Source organism: Homo sapiens, chromosome 3, assembly GCF_000001405.40.
Source record: "Homo sapiens chromosome 3, GRCh38.p14 Primary Assembly".
In the NCBI taxonomy this organism is placed as follows: Eukaryota; Metazoa; Chordata; class Mammalia; order Primates; family Hominidae; genus Homo; species Homo sapiens.
Window position 1 is genome coordinate 54,454,533 of NC_000003.12, and position 15,056 is coordinate 54,469,588.

The 15,056-nt window shown below is 39.7% G+C and overlaps 1 protein-coding gene across 1 annotated transcript in view, besides 2 other annotated features; it reads left to right on the forward strand.

The window, feature by feature from the left end:
- Positions 1-15,056, forward strand: part of CACNA2D3 (calcium voltage-gated channel auxiliary subunit alpha2delta 3) — a 952,006-nt gene that overhangs the window by 331,981 nt on the left and 604,969 nt on the right. The gene's annotated exons all lie outside the window — the stretch shown is intronic.
- Positions 9,420-9,921: an enhancer, noted in NCBI's record as "H3K4me1 hESC enhancer chr3:54497979-54498480 (GRCh37/hg19 assembly coordinates)". NCBI's record gives its function as "activates a minimal SCP1, AML or CMV promoter by ChIP-STARR-seq in primed H9 embryonic stem cells {active_cell/tissue: H9 hESC(primed)}" and the evidence as "EXISTENCE:reporter gene assay evidence [ECO:0000049][PMID:30033119]".
- Positions 9,922-10,421: an enhancer, noted in NCBI's record as "H3K4me1 hESC enhancer chr3:54498481-54498980 (GRCh37/hg19 assembly coordinates)". NCBI's record gives its function as "activates a minimal SCP1, AML or CMV promoter by ChIP-STARR-seq in primed H9 embryonic stem cells {active_cell/tissue: H9 hESC(primed)}" and the evidence as "EXISTENCE:reporter gene assay evidence [ECO:0000049][PMID:30033119]".

Consider the following 15,056-nt stretch of genomic DNA (forward strand, 5'->3'; position numbering starts at 1 on the left):
AATGTACAGTGATTAAATCTCGGTAATCAGTACATCCATCACCTCAAACATGTATCATTTCTTCATATTGGAAATGTTCAAAATCCTCTCTTCCAGCTATTTAAAAATATACAATAAATTGTTAGTTATAGACACCCTACAGTGCTATGAAACATTAGAACTTATTCCTACTATATGGTTGTATGTTTGTATCCATTAACCAACCTTTGGCTATCCACCTCCCTCTTTCCCCACCTCTAATAACCATTATTCTACTCTCTGCTTATATGGGATCAACTTTTTTAGCTTCTACATATGGGTGAGAATACACAGCATTTGTCTTTCTGTGCCTGGCTTATTTCATTTAACATAATGTCCTTCAGGCTCATCCATGTTGCAGCAAGTGACGGAATTTCTTTCTTATTTAAGGCTGACTTGTATATAAATGTGTATACATTCCACATTTGCTCTGTTCATTCATCTGTTGATGAACATGAGTTGCTTCCCTATCTTGGCTATTGCGAATAGTGCTGTGATAAACATGGGGGCGCAGATATCTCTTCAACATACTGACTTCCTTTCCTTTGGATATATACCCAGTAGGGGGATTGCTGGATCATATGATAGCTCTATTTTGAGTTTTTTTTGAAGAACCTCCATACTGTTTTCCATAATGTCTGTACTAATTTACATTCCCACCAACACTGTATAAGAATTCCCCTTTCTCTGCCTCCTCACCAACATTTGCTTTTTTTGTCTTTTTGATGATAACCATCCTGAGGTGAGATGATATTGTGGTTTTGATTTGTATTTTCCTGTTGATTAGCGATGTTGAGCATTTTTTAACATATTTGGACATTTGTATGCCAGATTATTTTGAGAGATGTCCACTCAGATCATTTGCCCATTTTTAATCAGATTATTTGTTTTTCTAATGTTGTATGAGTTTTTTGTATAATAATCCATTTTAGACGAGTAGTTTGCAGATATTTTTTTTCCCATTTTGGAGGTTGTCTTTTCACTCTATTGATTGTTTTCCTTTGCTGTGCAGAAGTATTTTAGTTTGATATAATTCCATTTGTCTATTTTTGCTTCTGTTGTCTGTGCTTTTAAGGTCTTTGCCATAAAATCTTTGCCAGATCAATGTCCTGAAGCATTTCTCCTATGGTTTCTTCTACTCATTTCATAATTTCATTTTAAGATTTAAGTCTTTAATTCATTTTGAGTTGATTTTTTTCTATGTGGTGAGAGATATGGGTTTAGTTTCATTCTTCTACAAATGTATATCCAGTATTTCCAGCACCATTTATTAAAGAGGCTGTCCTTTCGCTAGTGAATGTTGTTGGCACCTTTGTGGGAAATCAGCTGGCTCCATATAACTGGATTTATTTCTGGGCTCTCTATTCTGTTCCATTGGTCTATGTGTCTGTTTTTATGCCAGTACTATGTTATATTTTGAAGTCAGATAGTATGAAGCCTCCAGCTTTGTTCTTTTTGCTCAGGATTGCTTTGGATATTCAGACTCTTATATGGTTCTATCCAAATTTTAGGATTTATTTTCTGTTTCTGTGAAGAATGTCATTAGTATTTTGATAGAGATTGCATTGAATCTGTAGATTGCTTTGGGTAGTATGGTCATTTTAACAAAGTAATTCTTCGGTATATTCATGAGGCTGGGATGTCTTTCCATTTTTGTGTGTGTGTGTCTTCCTGATTTCTTTCATCAGTGTTCATAGACTTCCTTGTAGAGATCTTTTGTCTTGTTGGTTAAATTTATTCTTAAGTATTTTATTTATTTTTGGTACCAATTGTAAATAGGATTGCTTTCTTGATTTCTTTTTTAGCTAGTTTGTTGTTGGTGTGTAGGAATACTACTGATTTTTATATTAATATATTGATTTTGTATCCTGCAACTTTACCGAAATTGTTTGTCCGTTCTAAGAGTTTTGGTGGAGTCTTTAGGTTGTTTTTCTATATATAAGATCATCTGCAAACAGATTCTTTTGAGAATTTTTGCCTCTGTATTCATTAGGGATATTGGCCTATAGTTTTCTTTTTTTGGTTGGTGTTGTGTCCTTGTCTGGTATTGTAACAGGGTAATGTTGGCCTCATAGAGTGAGTTTGGAAGTGCTACCTCCTCTTCATTTCTTGGAAATAATTTGAGAAGAATTGGCATTAGTTTTTCTTTAAAAGTTGAGCAGTGAAACCACTCGGTCCCGGGCTTTTCTTTATTGGGAGGTTTTTAACTACAACTTTAACCTCTTGGTTCATTATTGGTCTGTTTGAGTTTTCTATTTCTTCTTGGCAAAATCTTTATAAGTTGTATGTGTCCAGGAATTTATCCATTTCCTCTGGGTTTTCCAGTTTTTTGGCCTATAGTTGCTTATAGTGGTCTGTAATGATTGTTTGTATTTCTGTAGTATCAGCTGTAATTCTTTTTTTGTTTCTCATTTTGCTTACTTGGGTCTTTTTTTTTAATTAGTCTACCTAATGGTTTATTAATTTTGTTTATCTTTTCAAAAAGCCAACTTTTCATTTTGTTGATCTTTTTTTGTTCTGTTGGTCTCAATTTTATTTCTTTCTTTCCATGTACTAATTTGGGGTTTGGTTTGTTTTTCTAGTTCATTGAGGTGTATAATTAGGTTATTTGAAATCTTTCTAGTTTTTTTGATGTATGCATTTATTGTTATAAACTTCCCTCTTAATACTGCCTTTGCTGTATCCTATAGGTTTTGGTATGTTGTGTTTCTGTTTTAATTTGTTTCAATAAATTTTTCAATCTCTTTCTTAATTCCTTCATTGACCCATTTGTTGTTCAAGAGCATGTTGTTTAATTTACATGCATTTGTATAGTTCTGAAAGTTCTTGTTACTGATTTCTAGTTTTATTACATTGTCATTAGAAAATATAGTTGATATTATTTTGATTTTTAAAAACTTGTTGAGACTTGTTTTGCGATCTAACATATGGTCAGTCCTGGAGAATGTCACGTGTGCTGATGAAAAGAATGTGTCTTCTGCAGCTGTTGGATGAAATTTTCTGTAAATGTCCATAGGTGTGTTTGGTCTATAACACAGCTTATATTGGATTTTTTTTATTGATTTTCTGTATAGATGATCTGTCCAGTACTGAGAGTGGGGTTTGGAAGTCCCCAGATTTTATTGTATTGGAATCTATATATCTTTTGAGATCTAATAATATTTGCTTTACATGTAAATATATGTGCACACAACCATATATACATGTGCTCTGGTGTTGGGTACATATATATTTACAATTTTTATATCCTCTCACTGAATGATCCCTTTGTCATTACATAATGACTTTCTTTGTCTCTTCTTACAGCCTTTGACTTAAAGGTCTTTTTAAAATATGTAAGTATAGGTACTCCTGCTCACGTTTAGTTTCTATTTGTATGGATATCATTTTTCTATTCCTTTATTTTAAGTCTTTGGGTCTTTACATGCAAAGTAAATTTCCTGTAGGCAGCATATAGTTGGGTTGTATTTTTGTATCCATTCTGCCAGCCTATATCTTTTAACTGGGAAATTTAATTCATTTACATTTAAGGTTATTATTTGTAGGTGAGAACTTACTCCTGTCATTTTGTTAATTGGTTTTTGATAAGTTTTTGATATCCTTTGTTCCTTTCTTTCTCTCATTGCTTATCATTGCAGTTTGGTAGTTTTCTGTAGTGATAATGTTTGATTCTTTTCTCTTACTTCTATGTGTATTTGCTCCACCAGTGAATTTTGTAGTTTCATGTGTTTTCATTATGATAGTTATTGACATTTCACTTCAATGTGTAGCACTCCTGTAAGCATTGCTTTGTAAGATTGATCTAGTGATGATGAATTTCCTCAGTTTTTGGTTGTCTGAGAAAACTTTATTTCTCTTTCATTTCTGAAATACAGCTTTTGGGTATATTTTCTTTGCTGGCAGTTTTTTTTTTTTCCCTTTTACTACTTTGAATATATCATCGAATTATTTCCTGGCCTGTAAGGTTTCTGCTGAGAAATCTACTGATAGTCTAGTAAGGGTTCCTTTGTATGTGATTTGATGTTTTTCTCTTGCTGTGTTTAGCATTCTCTCTTTGTCTCAGACTTTTGACAATTTGACTACAGTGTGCCTCAGAGAGGACCTTTTTGGTTGAATCTGTTGGAGGTTTCTGAGCTTCCTGGATCTGGATGTTTATCTCTCTCCCAAGATTTAGGACGTTTTAAACTGTTATTTCCTTAAATACATTTTCTTTTTTTATTTTATTTTATTATTATTATACTCTTAAGTTTTAGGGTACATGTGCACAATGTGCAGGTTAGTTACATATGTATACATGTGCCATGCTGGTGTGCTGCACCCATTAACTCGTCATTTAGCATTAGGTATATCTCCTAATGCTATCCCTCCCAACTTCCCCCACCCCACAACAGGCCCCAGAGTGTGATGTTCCCCTTCCTGTGTCCATATGTTCTCATTGTTCAATTCCCACCTATGAGTGAGAACATGCGGTGTTTGGTTTTTCGTCCTTGCGATAGTTTACTGAGAATGATGATTTCCAATTTCATCCATGTCCCTACAAAGGACATGAACACATCATTTTTATGGCTGCATAGTATTCCATGGTGTATATGTGCCACATTTTCTTAATCCAGTCTATCATTGTTGGACATTTGGGTTGGTTCCAAGTCTTTGCTATTGTGGATAGTGCTGCAATAAACATATGTGTGCATGTGTCTTTATAGCAGCATGATTTATAGTCCTTTGGGTATATACCCAGTAATGGGATGGCTGGGTCAAATGGTATTTCTAGTTCTAGATCCCTGAGGAATTGCCACACTGACTTCCACAATGGTTGAACTAGTTTACAGTCCCACCAACAGTGTAAAAGTGTTCCTATTTCTCCACATCCTCTCCAGCACCTGTTGTTTCCTGACTTTTTAATGATCGCCATTCTAACTGGTGTGAGATGGTATCTCATTGTGGTTTTGATTTGCATTTCTCTGATGGCCAGTGATGATGAGCATTTTTTCATGTGTCTTTTGGCTACATAAATGTCTTCTTTTGAGAAGTGTCTGTTCATATCCTTCGCCCACTTTCTGATGGGGTTGTTTGTTTTTTTCTTGTAAATTTGTTTGAGTTCATTGTAGATTCTGGATATTAGCCCTTTGTCAGATGAGTAGGTTGCGAAAATTTTCTCCCATTTTGTAGGTTGCCTGTTCACTCTGATGGTAGTTTCTTTTGCTGTGCAGAAGCTGTTTAGTTTAATTGTATCCCATTTGTCAATTTTGGCTTTTGTTGCTATTGCTTTTGGTGTTTTAGACATGAAGTCCTTGCCCATGCCTATGTCCTGAATGGTAATGCCTAGGTTTTCTTGTAGGGTTTTTATGGTTTTAGGTCTAACATTTAAGTCTTTAATCCATCTTGAATTAATTTTTTGTATAAGGTGTAAGGAAGGGATCCAGTTTCAGCTTTCTCCATATGGCTAGCCAGTTTTCCCAGCACCATTTATTAAATAGGGAATCCTTTCCCCATTGCTTGTTTTTCTCAGGTTTGTCAAAGATCAGATAGTTGTAGATATGCGGCATTATTTCTGAGGGCTCTGTTCTGTTCCATTGATCTATATCTCTGTTTTGGTACCAGTACCATGCTGTTTTGGTTACTGTAGCCTTGTAGTATAGTTTGAAGTCAGGTAGCGTGATGCCTCCAGCTTTGTTCTTTTGGCTTAGGATTGACTTGGCGATGCAGGCTCTTTTTTGGTTCCATATGAACTTTAAAGTAGTTTTTTTCCAATTCTGTGAAGAAAGTTATTGGTAGCTTGAAGGGGATGGCATTGAATCTATAAGTTACCTTGGGCAGTATGGCCATTTTCACGATATTGATTCTTCCTACCCATGAGCATGGAATGTTCTTCCATTTGTTTGTATCCTCATTTATTTCATTGAGCAGTGGTTTGTAGTTCTCCTTGAAGAGGTCCTTCACATCCCTTCTAAGTTGGAATCCTAGGTATTTTATTCTCTTTGAAGCAATTGTGAATGGGAGTTCACTCATGATTTGGCTCTCTGTTTGTCCATTATTGGTGTATAAGAATGCTTGTGATTTTTGTACATTGATTTTGTATCCTGAGACTTTGCTGAAGTTGCTTATCAGCTTAAGGAGATTTTGGGCTGAGGCAATGGGGTTTTCTAGATATACAATCATGTCATCTGCAAACAGGGACAATTTGACTTCCTGTTTTCCTAATTGAATACCCTTTATTTCCTTGTTCTGCCTAATTGCCCTGGCCAGAACTTCCAACACTATGTTGAATAGGAGTGGTGAGAGAGGGCATCCCTGTCTTGTGCCAGTTTTCAAAGGGAATGCTTCCAGTTTTTGCCCATTCAGTGTGATATCGGCTGTGGGTTTGTCATAGATAGCTCTTATTATTTTGAGATACGTCCCATCAGTACCTAATTTCTTGAGAGTTTTTAGCATGAAGAGTTGTTGAATTTTGTCAAAGGCCTTTTCTGCATCTATTGAGATAATCATGTTGTTTTTGTCTTTGGTTCTGTTTATATGCTGGATTACATTTATTGATTTGCGTATATTGAACCAGCCTTGCATCCCAGGGATGAAGCCCACTTGATCATGGTGGATAAGCTTTTTGATGTGCTGCTGGATTTGGTTTGGCAGTATTTGATTGAGGATTTTTGCATCAATGTTCATCAAGGATATTGGTCTAAAATTCTCTTTTTTGGTTGTGTCTCTGCCCAGCTTTGGTATCAGGATGATGCTGGCCTCATAAAATGAGTTAGGGAGGATTCCCTCTTTTTCTATTGATTGGAATAGTTTCAGAAGGAATGGTACCAGTTCCTCCTTGTACCTCTGGTAGAATTCGGCTGTGAATCCATCTGGTCCTGGACTCTTTTTGATTGGTAAGCTATTGATTATTGCCACAATTTCAGCTCCTGTTATTGGTCTATTCAGAGATTCAACTTCTTCCTGGTTTAGTCTTGGGAGGGTGTACGTGTCGAGGAATTTATCCATTTCTTCTAGATTTTCTAGTTTATTTGCATAGAGGTGTTTGTAGTATTCTCTCATGATAGTTTGTATTTCTGTGGAATCGGTGGTGATATCCCCTTTATCGTTTTTTATTGCATCTATTTGATTCTTCTCTCTTTTTTTCTTTATTAGTCTTGGTAGTGATCTATCAGTTTTGTTGATCCTTTCAAAAAACCAGCTCCTGGATTGATTAATTTTTTGAAGGGTTTTTTGTGTCTCTGTTTCCTTCAGTTCTGCTCTGATTTTAGTTATTTCTTGCCTTCTGCTAGCTTTTGAATGTGTTTGCTTTTGCTTTTCTAGTTCTTTTAATTGTGATGTTAGGGTGTCAATTTTGGATCCTTCCTGCTTTCTGTTGTGGGCATTTAGTGCTATAAATTTCCCTCTACACACTGCTTTGAATGCGTCCCAGAGATTCTGGTATGTTGTGTCTTTGTTCTGGTTGGTTTCAAAGAACATCTTTATTTCTGCCTTCATTTCGTTATGTACCCTGTAGTCATTCAGGAGCAGGTTGTTCAGTTTCCATGTAGTTGAGTGGTTTTGAGTGAGTTTCTTAATCTTGAGTTCTAGTTTGATTGCACTGTGGTCTGAGAGACAGCTTGTTATAATTTCTGTTCTTTTACATTTGCTGAGGAGAGCTTTACTTCCCAGTATGTGGTCCATTTTGGAATAGGTGTGGTGTGGTGCTGAAAAAAATGTATATTCTGTTGATTTGTGGTGGAGTGTTCTGTAGATGTCTATTAGGTCCACTTGGTGCAGAGCTGAGTTCAATTCCTGTGTATCCTTGTTAACTTTGTCTCGCTGATCTGTCTAATGTTGACAGTGGGGTGTTAACATCTCCCATTACTATTGTGTGGGAGTCTAAGTCTCTTTGTATGTCACTCAGGACTTGCTTTATGAATCTGGGTGCTCCTGTATTGGGGGCATATATATTTAGGATAGTTAGCTCTTCTTGTTGAATTGATCCCTTTACCATTATGCAATGGCCTTCTTTGTCTCTTTTGATCTTTGTTGGTTTAAAGTCTGTTTTATCAGAGACTAGGATTGCAACCCCTGCCTTTTTTTGTTTTCCATTTGCTTGGTAGATCTTCCTCCATCCTTTTATTTTGAACCCATGTGTGTCTCTGCATGTGAGATGGGTTTCCTGAATACAGCACACTGATGGGTCTTGACTCTTTATCCAATTTGCCAGTCTGTGTCTTTTAATTGGAGCATTTAGTCCATTTGCATTTAAAGTTAATATTGTTGTGTTTGAATTTGATCCTGTCATTATGACGTTAGCTGGTGATTTTGCTCATTAGTTGATGCAGTTTCTTCCTAGTCTCGATGTTCTTTACATTTTGGCATGATTTTGCAGCGGCTGGTACCGGTTGTTCCTTTCCATGTTTAGTGCTTCCTTCAGGAGCTCTTTTAGGGCAGGCCTGGTGGTGACAAAATCTCTCAGCATTTGCTTGTCTTTAAAGTATTTTATTTCTCCTTCACTTCTGAAGCTTAGTTTGGCTGGATATGAAATTCTGGGTTGAAAATTCTTTTCTTTAAGAATGTTGAATATTGGCCCCCACTCTCTTCTGGCTTGTAGAGTTTCCGCCGAGAGATCCGCTGTTAGTCTGATGGGCTTCCCTTTGTGGGTAACCCGACCTTTCTCTCTGGCTGCCCTTAACATTTTTTCCTTCATTTCAACTTTGGTGAGTCTGACAATTACGTGTCTTGGAGTTGCTCTTCTCGAGGAGTATCTTTGTGGCATTCTCTGTATTTCCTGAATCTGAATGTTGGCTTGCCTTGCTAGATTGGGGAAGTTCTCCTGGATAATATCCTGCAGAGTGTTTTCCAACTTGGTTCCATTCTTCCCGTCACTTTCAGGTACAGCAATCACGTAGATTTGGTCTTTTCACATAGTGCCATATTTCTTGGAGGCTTTGTTCATTTCTTTTTATTCTTTTTTCTGTAAACTTCTCATCTTGCTTCATTTCATTCATTTCATCTTCCATCACTGATACCCTTTCTTCCAGTTGATCGCATCGGCTCCTGAGGCTTCTGCATTCTTCACAGTTCTCGAGCCTTGGCTTTCAGCTCCATCAGCTCCTTTAAGCACTTCTCTATTGGTTATTCTAGTTATACATTCGTCTAAGTTTTTAATCAAAGTTTTTAACTTTTTTGCCTTTGGTTTGAATTTCCTCCTGTAGCTCGGAGTAGTTTGATCGTCTGAAGCCTTCTTCTCTGAACTCTTCAAAGTCATTCTCCATCCAGCTTTGTTCCGTTGCTGGTGAGGAACTGCGTTCTTTTGGAGGAGGAGAGGCGCTCTGCTTTTTAGAGTTTCCAGTTTTTCTGCTCTGTTTTTTCCCCATCTTTGTGGTTTTATCTACTTTTGGTCTTTGATGATGGCGATGTACAGATGGGATTTTGGTGTGGATGTCCTTTCTGTTTGTTAGTTTTCCTTCTACCATACAGGACCCTCAGCTGCAGGTCTGTTGGAGTTTGCTAGAGGTGCACTCCAGACCCTGTTTGCCTTGGTACCAGCAGCGGTGGCTGCAGAACAGCAGTTTTTCATGAACCACGAATGCTGCTGTCTGATCGTTCCTCTGGAAGTTTTGTCTCAGAGGAGTACCCAGCCGTGTGAGGTGTCAGTCTGCCCCTACTGGGGGGTGCCTCCTAGTTAGGCTGCTTGGGGGTCAGGGGTCAGGGACCCACTTGAGGAGGCAGTCTGCCCCTTCTCATATCTCCAGCTGCGTGCTGGGAGAACCACTGCTCTCTTCAAAGCTGTCAGACAGGGACATTTAAGTCTGCAGAGGTTACTGCTGTCTTTTTGTTTGTCTGTGCCCTGCCCCCAGAGGTGGAGCCTACAGAGGCAGGCAGGCCTCCTTGAGCTGTGGTGGGCTCCACCCAGTTCGAGCTTCCCGGCTGCTTTGTTTCCCTAAGCAAGCCTGGGCAATGGCGAGCGCCCCTCCCCCAGCCTCGCTGCCACCTTGCAGTTTGATCTCAGAGTGCTGTGCTAGCAATCAGCAAGACTCCGTGGGCGTAGGACCCTCCGAGCCAAGTGCGGGATATAATCTCCTGGTGTGCCGTTTTTTAAGCCCGTCGGAAAAGGGCAGTATTAGGGTGGGAGTGACCCAATTTTCCAAGTGCCGTCTGTCACCCCTTTCTTTGACTAGGAAGGGGAACTCCCTGACCCCTCGCGCTTCCTGAGTGAGGCAATGCCTCGCCGTGCTTCGGCTAGCGCACGGTGCGCTGCACGCACTGTCCTGCGCCCACTGTCTGGCACTCCCTAGTGAGATGAACCCGGTACCTCAGATGGAAATGCAGAAATCACCCCTCTTCTGCGTCGCTTACGCTGGGAGCTGTAGACCGGAGCTGTTCCTATTTGGCCATCTTCTCCTTAAATACATTTTCTATGCCTTTTCCCATCTCTTCTCCTTTTTGAACTTCCATAATGTGAACATTTGTTCACTTTATGGTATCCCATAAGTCCTGTAGGCTTTCTTCTTTCTTTAATTTCTTTTCTTTTCTTCTCCTTTTTTTTTGGTCTGCCTGGGTTATTTCAAAAGATCTGTCTTCACATTCAGACATTGTTTTTCTGCTTCATCTAGTCTGTCGTTAACAAATTCAGTTGCATTTTTATTTCATTCATTGAATTCTTCATTTCCAAGATTTTTTTAATGAAATCTAAATCATTGTTGAATGTTTCCTTCAGATCATGTATTGTTTTCCTGATTTTATTGAATTTCCTGTTTGATTACTTTATATCTCACTGAGTTTCCTTAAGATCATTATTTTTGAATTTGAGGGACAGAGAGCTAGCAAACAAGCACATTCACATTACTTTATTACAGTAATTGCTATAATTGTTATTTTTATTAGTTATTGTTAATCTCTTACTGTGCCTAATTTATAAATTAAACTTTATTATATGTACGTAGGTGTAGGAAAAAACATAGTGTATACAGGGTTCAGTACCATTGCGGTTTCAGGCATCCACTGGGAGTCTTGGAACGTATCTCTGTGGATAAGAGTGGTCTACTGTACTCTTGGTTTATGTTCTGGGAGGTAAACTGCTCACTTATGACCACATCCAAGTGCATACACTCCATTTTGGAACCCTCTAGCACACAGCCATGCGTACAGGTTGGTGCAAAAGTAATTGGCATTGAAAGAAATGGCCAAAACCGCAATTACTTTTGCATCAACCTAGAGATGTACTACTTTTCTATTGTTGCATAACTCGTTAACATTAATAACTGATTCATTATTTCCCAATTCTATAAGTCAGAAGTCTGGGTGGGCTTGGCTGATTTTTCTGCCCTGGATCTCACAAGGCTGAAGGTAAGGTGCTGGCTGGGCTCTTAATCTGGAGATCTGGAAAGATTGACTTCCTAGTTCATTGAGGCTGTTGGAAGAATTCAGTTTCATATGGTTATGAGACTGAGGTCCCCCCTGCCTTGCTGGTTGTCCTTGTCCCTTGCATGTGGTCCCCTCCACCTTCAAAACCACCAACCGTGTGTTGAGTCCTTCTTGTGTTTTGAATCTCTCTGACTTTCTCTTCTGCCACCAGCCAGGGAAAACTCTGCTTTTGAATCGGGTTCACATCTCCGTATTTTAAGGTCAACTGACTCAAGACTTTAATTTCATCTGCAAAATACCCCTAGATTAGTGTTTGAATAATCAAGGGATAGGAATCTTGGATGGGACCATTTTCAGAATTCTGACTACCACAGTGAGTGTTGTATAAATTTTTTTTTGATGTTTAATCAAGGAGAGAATTGGAAAAAAGTACTAAAAGAAGTCTCAAATTAATTTTTACACTGTTAAATTCAGGATTCTTTCTATATGATATCACTGTTAATGCTGGTTATACCACCCATTGTTGTAAAGAAACCCACAAGCTAACAGAGAAAAGGAAAACAAAACAGTAATTATGCTGATGTTGTTGCCTTTTTTATTTTTGGAAGGAAGGAAAATTTGCTGATCCGAGCCAAGTTTTTCCCCTCAATGGCTGGCGCTGCTCAGTAACATTGCAAGTGTTATTCATATATTGTGTTTATTTTTTTCAGGGGCCTGGGCAACAAAGTTACTTACTTTTTTAAAAAAGAAAAATGGACTTAAACATGTGGAAAAGTTCAAAAGAAGAAGCTTAGTATGACTGATATAAAATAGTTGTAAAAAGTGACCAATCTCATTATAATGTTGTGATTTCTAGGCTGCGTTGAGTTTTGTTAGTTGCCTAACACTGTATAATTATAAGTATAGCTAGAAAAGTGGGTGTCCTTCAAAACTTTGGGACAGTTGGTTGGGATTTTGTAGGCAATCCAGTGTTGAAAGGTTTGCTTCATCATTTTGTGGTGTTATCTTTGGGTTGAGAAACAAAGATCATTTAAAAAGAAAAGTTCAGATGGTCCTGCTGGGTTCTGCTGTGCTGTGGCTTATAGCCTACTTGCTGGAAGTACCATTCAGTTCTCAATACTAAGAATCAACTTTAAGTAACTTTTAAACTTAAAAGTTAAATATTTTTTGGTATGTCGTCTTTGAGTGAGAAGACCAGGGTGGGATTTTTTCCATATCAGACAAACAACAATAGGGGTCCTGGCTGGCAAAAGGATACACATCATTGCGTCAGATGATTTGTCTCCAGGAAAATAAGTTCAAAGCAAAGCATCAAATGCTGTCTGAATGTGAGTCTAACCAACTGGGACTGGTAAGAGGCACCAACTCTGTGTGCTGCCCTTGACAGCCCACATGGGCTCCCTTCTGTGCTGTGAACTGTAAAGTGTGACCAGGGAACTGGGAAGAGTCTTGGAAATACATCAATGCTGCCTGAACCCACTTAGGCTCATGGAAGTGGAAAGGACACAGTAAAAGAGAAAGAGAAGCTCAGGGATTGCCAAGTAACAGATATTGAGTCAGCAATGATGGGTCTCAAGTCTTAGCTTGATTGAGACTTGGGCAAGCCATTGTGAGACTTAGGGCAAGTTGCCTCGCCTCATCTCTGTGAGTCTGGTGTCCTCATCTGCAAAATGGAGATAATATCTGTCATTTAGAGCAACATGGGTGAATCTGGAGACATTATATTGAGTGAAATAAGCCAGGCACATAAGGAAAAATACTGCATGATTTCAGTCATATATGGAATGTAAAAAGTTGTTCTCATAGAAGTAGAGGGAGAATAGTGGTTACCAGAGGATGGGAGGGTACAGGGGAAGGAGGAGTGGGGAGAGATTGGTTGATAGGTACGAACTACAGTTAGGAAGAATAAATGCTTGTGTTCCATTGCATAGTAGGATGATTAGAATTAAGAATGACATATTCTATATTTCAAAGTAGCTGGAAGAGAGGTTTTGAAAGTTCTTATCACAAAGAAATGATGAATGTTTGAGGTGATGGATATGGTAATTATGCTGATTTTGTCATTACACAGTGTATGCATGTGTCAAAACATCACATCATATTGTGTAAATATGTACAATTATGATGTGTCAATTGTACATTTAAAAAATTGAAACAAAAAATGGAGATGATAATAATAGAAGTACTGCCTAGGTCTTTGGATGTTTCTATGAAGTGATACATAAAAAGCATGTAGCAGGTTCTCTTGGAGGTGGCTGGCAAGATGGCCAAATACAAACAACTCCAGTCTGCAGCCCCCAGCGAGATCAACGTAGAAGGCGGGTGATTTCTGCATTTCCAACTGAGGTACCAAGTCATCTCATTGGGACTGGTTGGACAGTGGGTGCAGCCCGTGGAGGGTGAGCTGAAGCAGAGTAGGGCTTTGCCTCACCTGGGAAGTGCAAGGGGTTGGGGAGCTCCCTCCCCTAGCCAAGGGAAGCCATGAGGGACTGTGCCGTGAGGAATGGTGCATTCCAGCCAGATACTATGCTTTTCCCACAGTCTTTGCGACCTGCAGACCAGGAGATTCCCTCGGGTGCCTAGGCCACCAGGGCCCTGGGTTTCAAGCACAAAATGGGGCAGCCGTTTGGTCAGACACTGAGCTAGCTGCAGTTTTTTTCATGTCCCCGTGGCGCCTGGAATGCCAGCAAGACAGAACCGTTTCCCCCCTCTGGAAAGTGGGCTGAAGTCAGGGAGCCAAGTGGTCTAGCTCAGCAGATCCCACCCCCACGGAGTCCAGCAAGCTAAGGTCCACTGGATTGAAATTCTTGCTGCTAGCACAGCAGTCTGAAGTCTACCTGGGATGCTCAAGCTTGGTGGGGGGAGGTGCGTCTGCCATTACTGAGGCTTGAGTAGGTGGTTTACCCCTCACAGTGTAAACAAAGCTGCTGGGAAGTTCGAACTGGGTGGAGCCCACTGCAGCTCAGCAAAGCCACTGTAGCCGGACTGCCTCTCTTGCCTCCTTTCTGGGTACGACATCTCTGAAAGAAAGGCAGCAGCCCCGGTTAGGGGCTTATAGATCAAACTCCCATCTCCCTGGTAAAGAGCACCTGGGGGATGGGGTGGCTGTGGGTACAGCTTCAGCAGACTTAAATGTTCCCGCCTGCCGGCTCTTAAGAGAACAGCCCATCTCCCAGCACAGTGCTTGAGCTCTGCTAAGGGACAGACTGCCTCCTGAAGTGGGTCCCTGAACCCTATTCCCCCTGATTGGGAGACACCTCCCAGCAAGGGTCAATAGACACCTCATACAGGAGAGCTCTGACTGGCATCTGGTGGGTGCCCCTCTGGGACGAAGCTTGCAGAGGAAGGAACAGGCAGCAGTCTTTGCTGTTGTGCAGCCTCTGCTGGTGATACCCAGGCAAACAGGGTCTGGAGTGCACCTCCAGCAAACTCCAGCAGACCTTTTGCAGAGGGACCTGACTGTTAGAAGGAAAACCAACAGAAAGGAATAGCATCAATATCAACAAAAAGGATGTTCACACAAAAACCTCATCCGAATGTCTGTCACCAGCATCAAAGACCAAAGGTTGATAAATCCATGAAGATGAGGAAAAACCAGTGCAAAAAGGCTGAAAATTCCAAAAACCAGAATGCCTCTTCTCCTCCAAAGGATCACAACGCCTTGACAGCAAGGGAACAAAACTGGATGGAGAATGAGTTTGATGAAC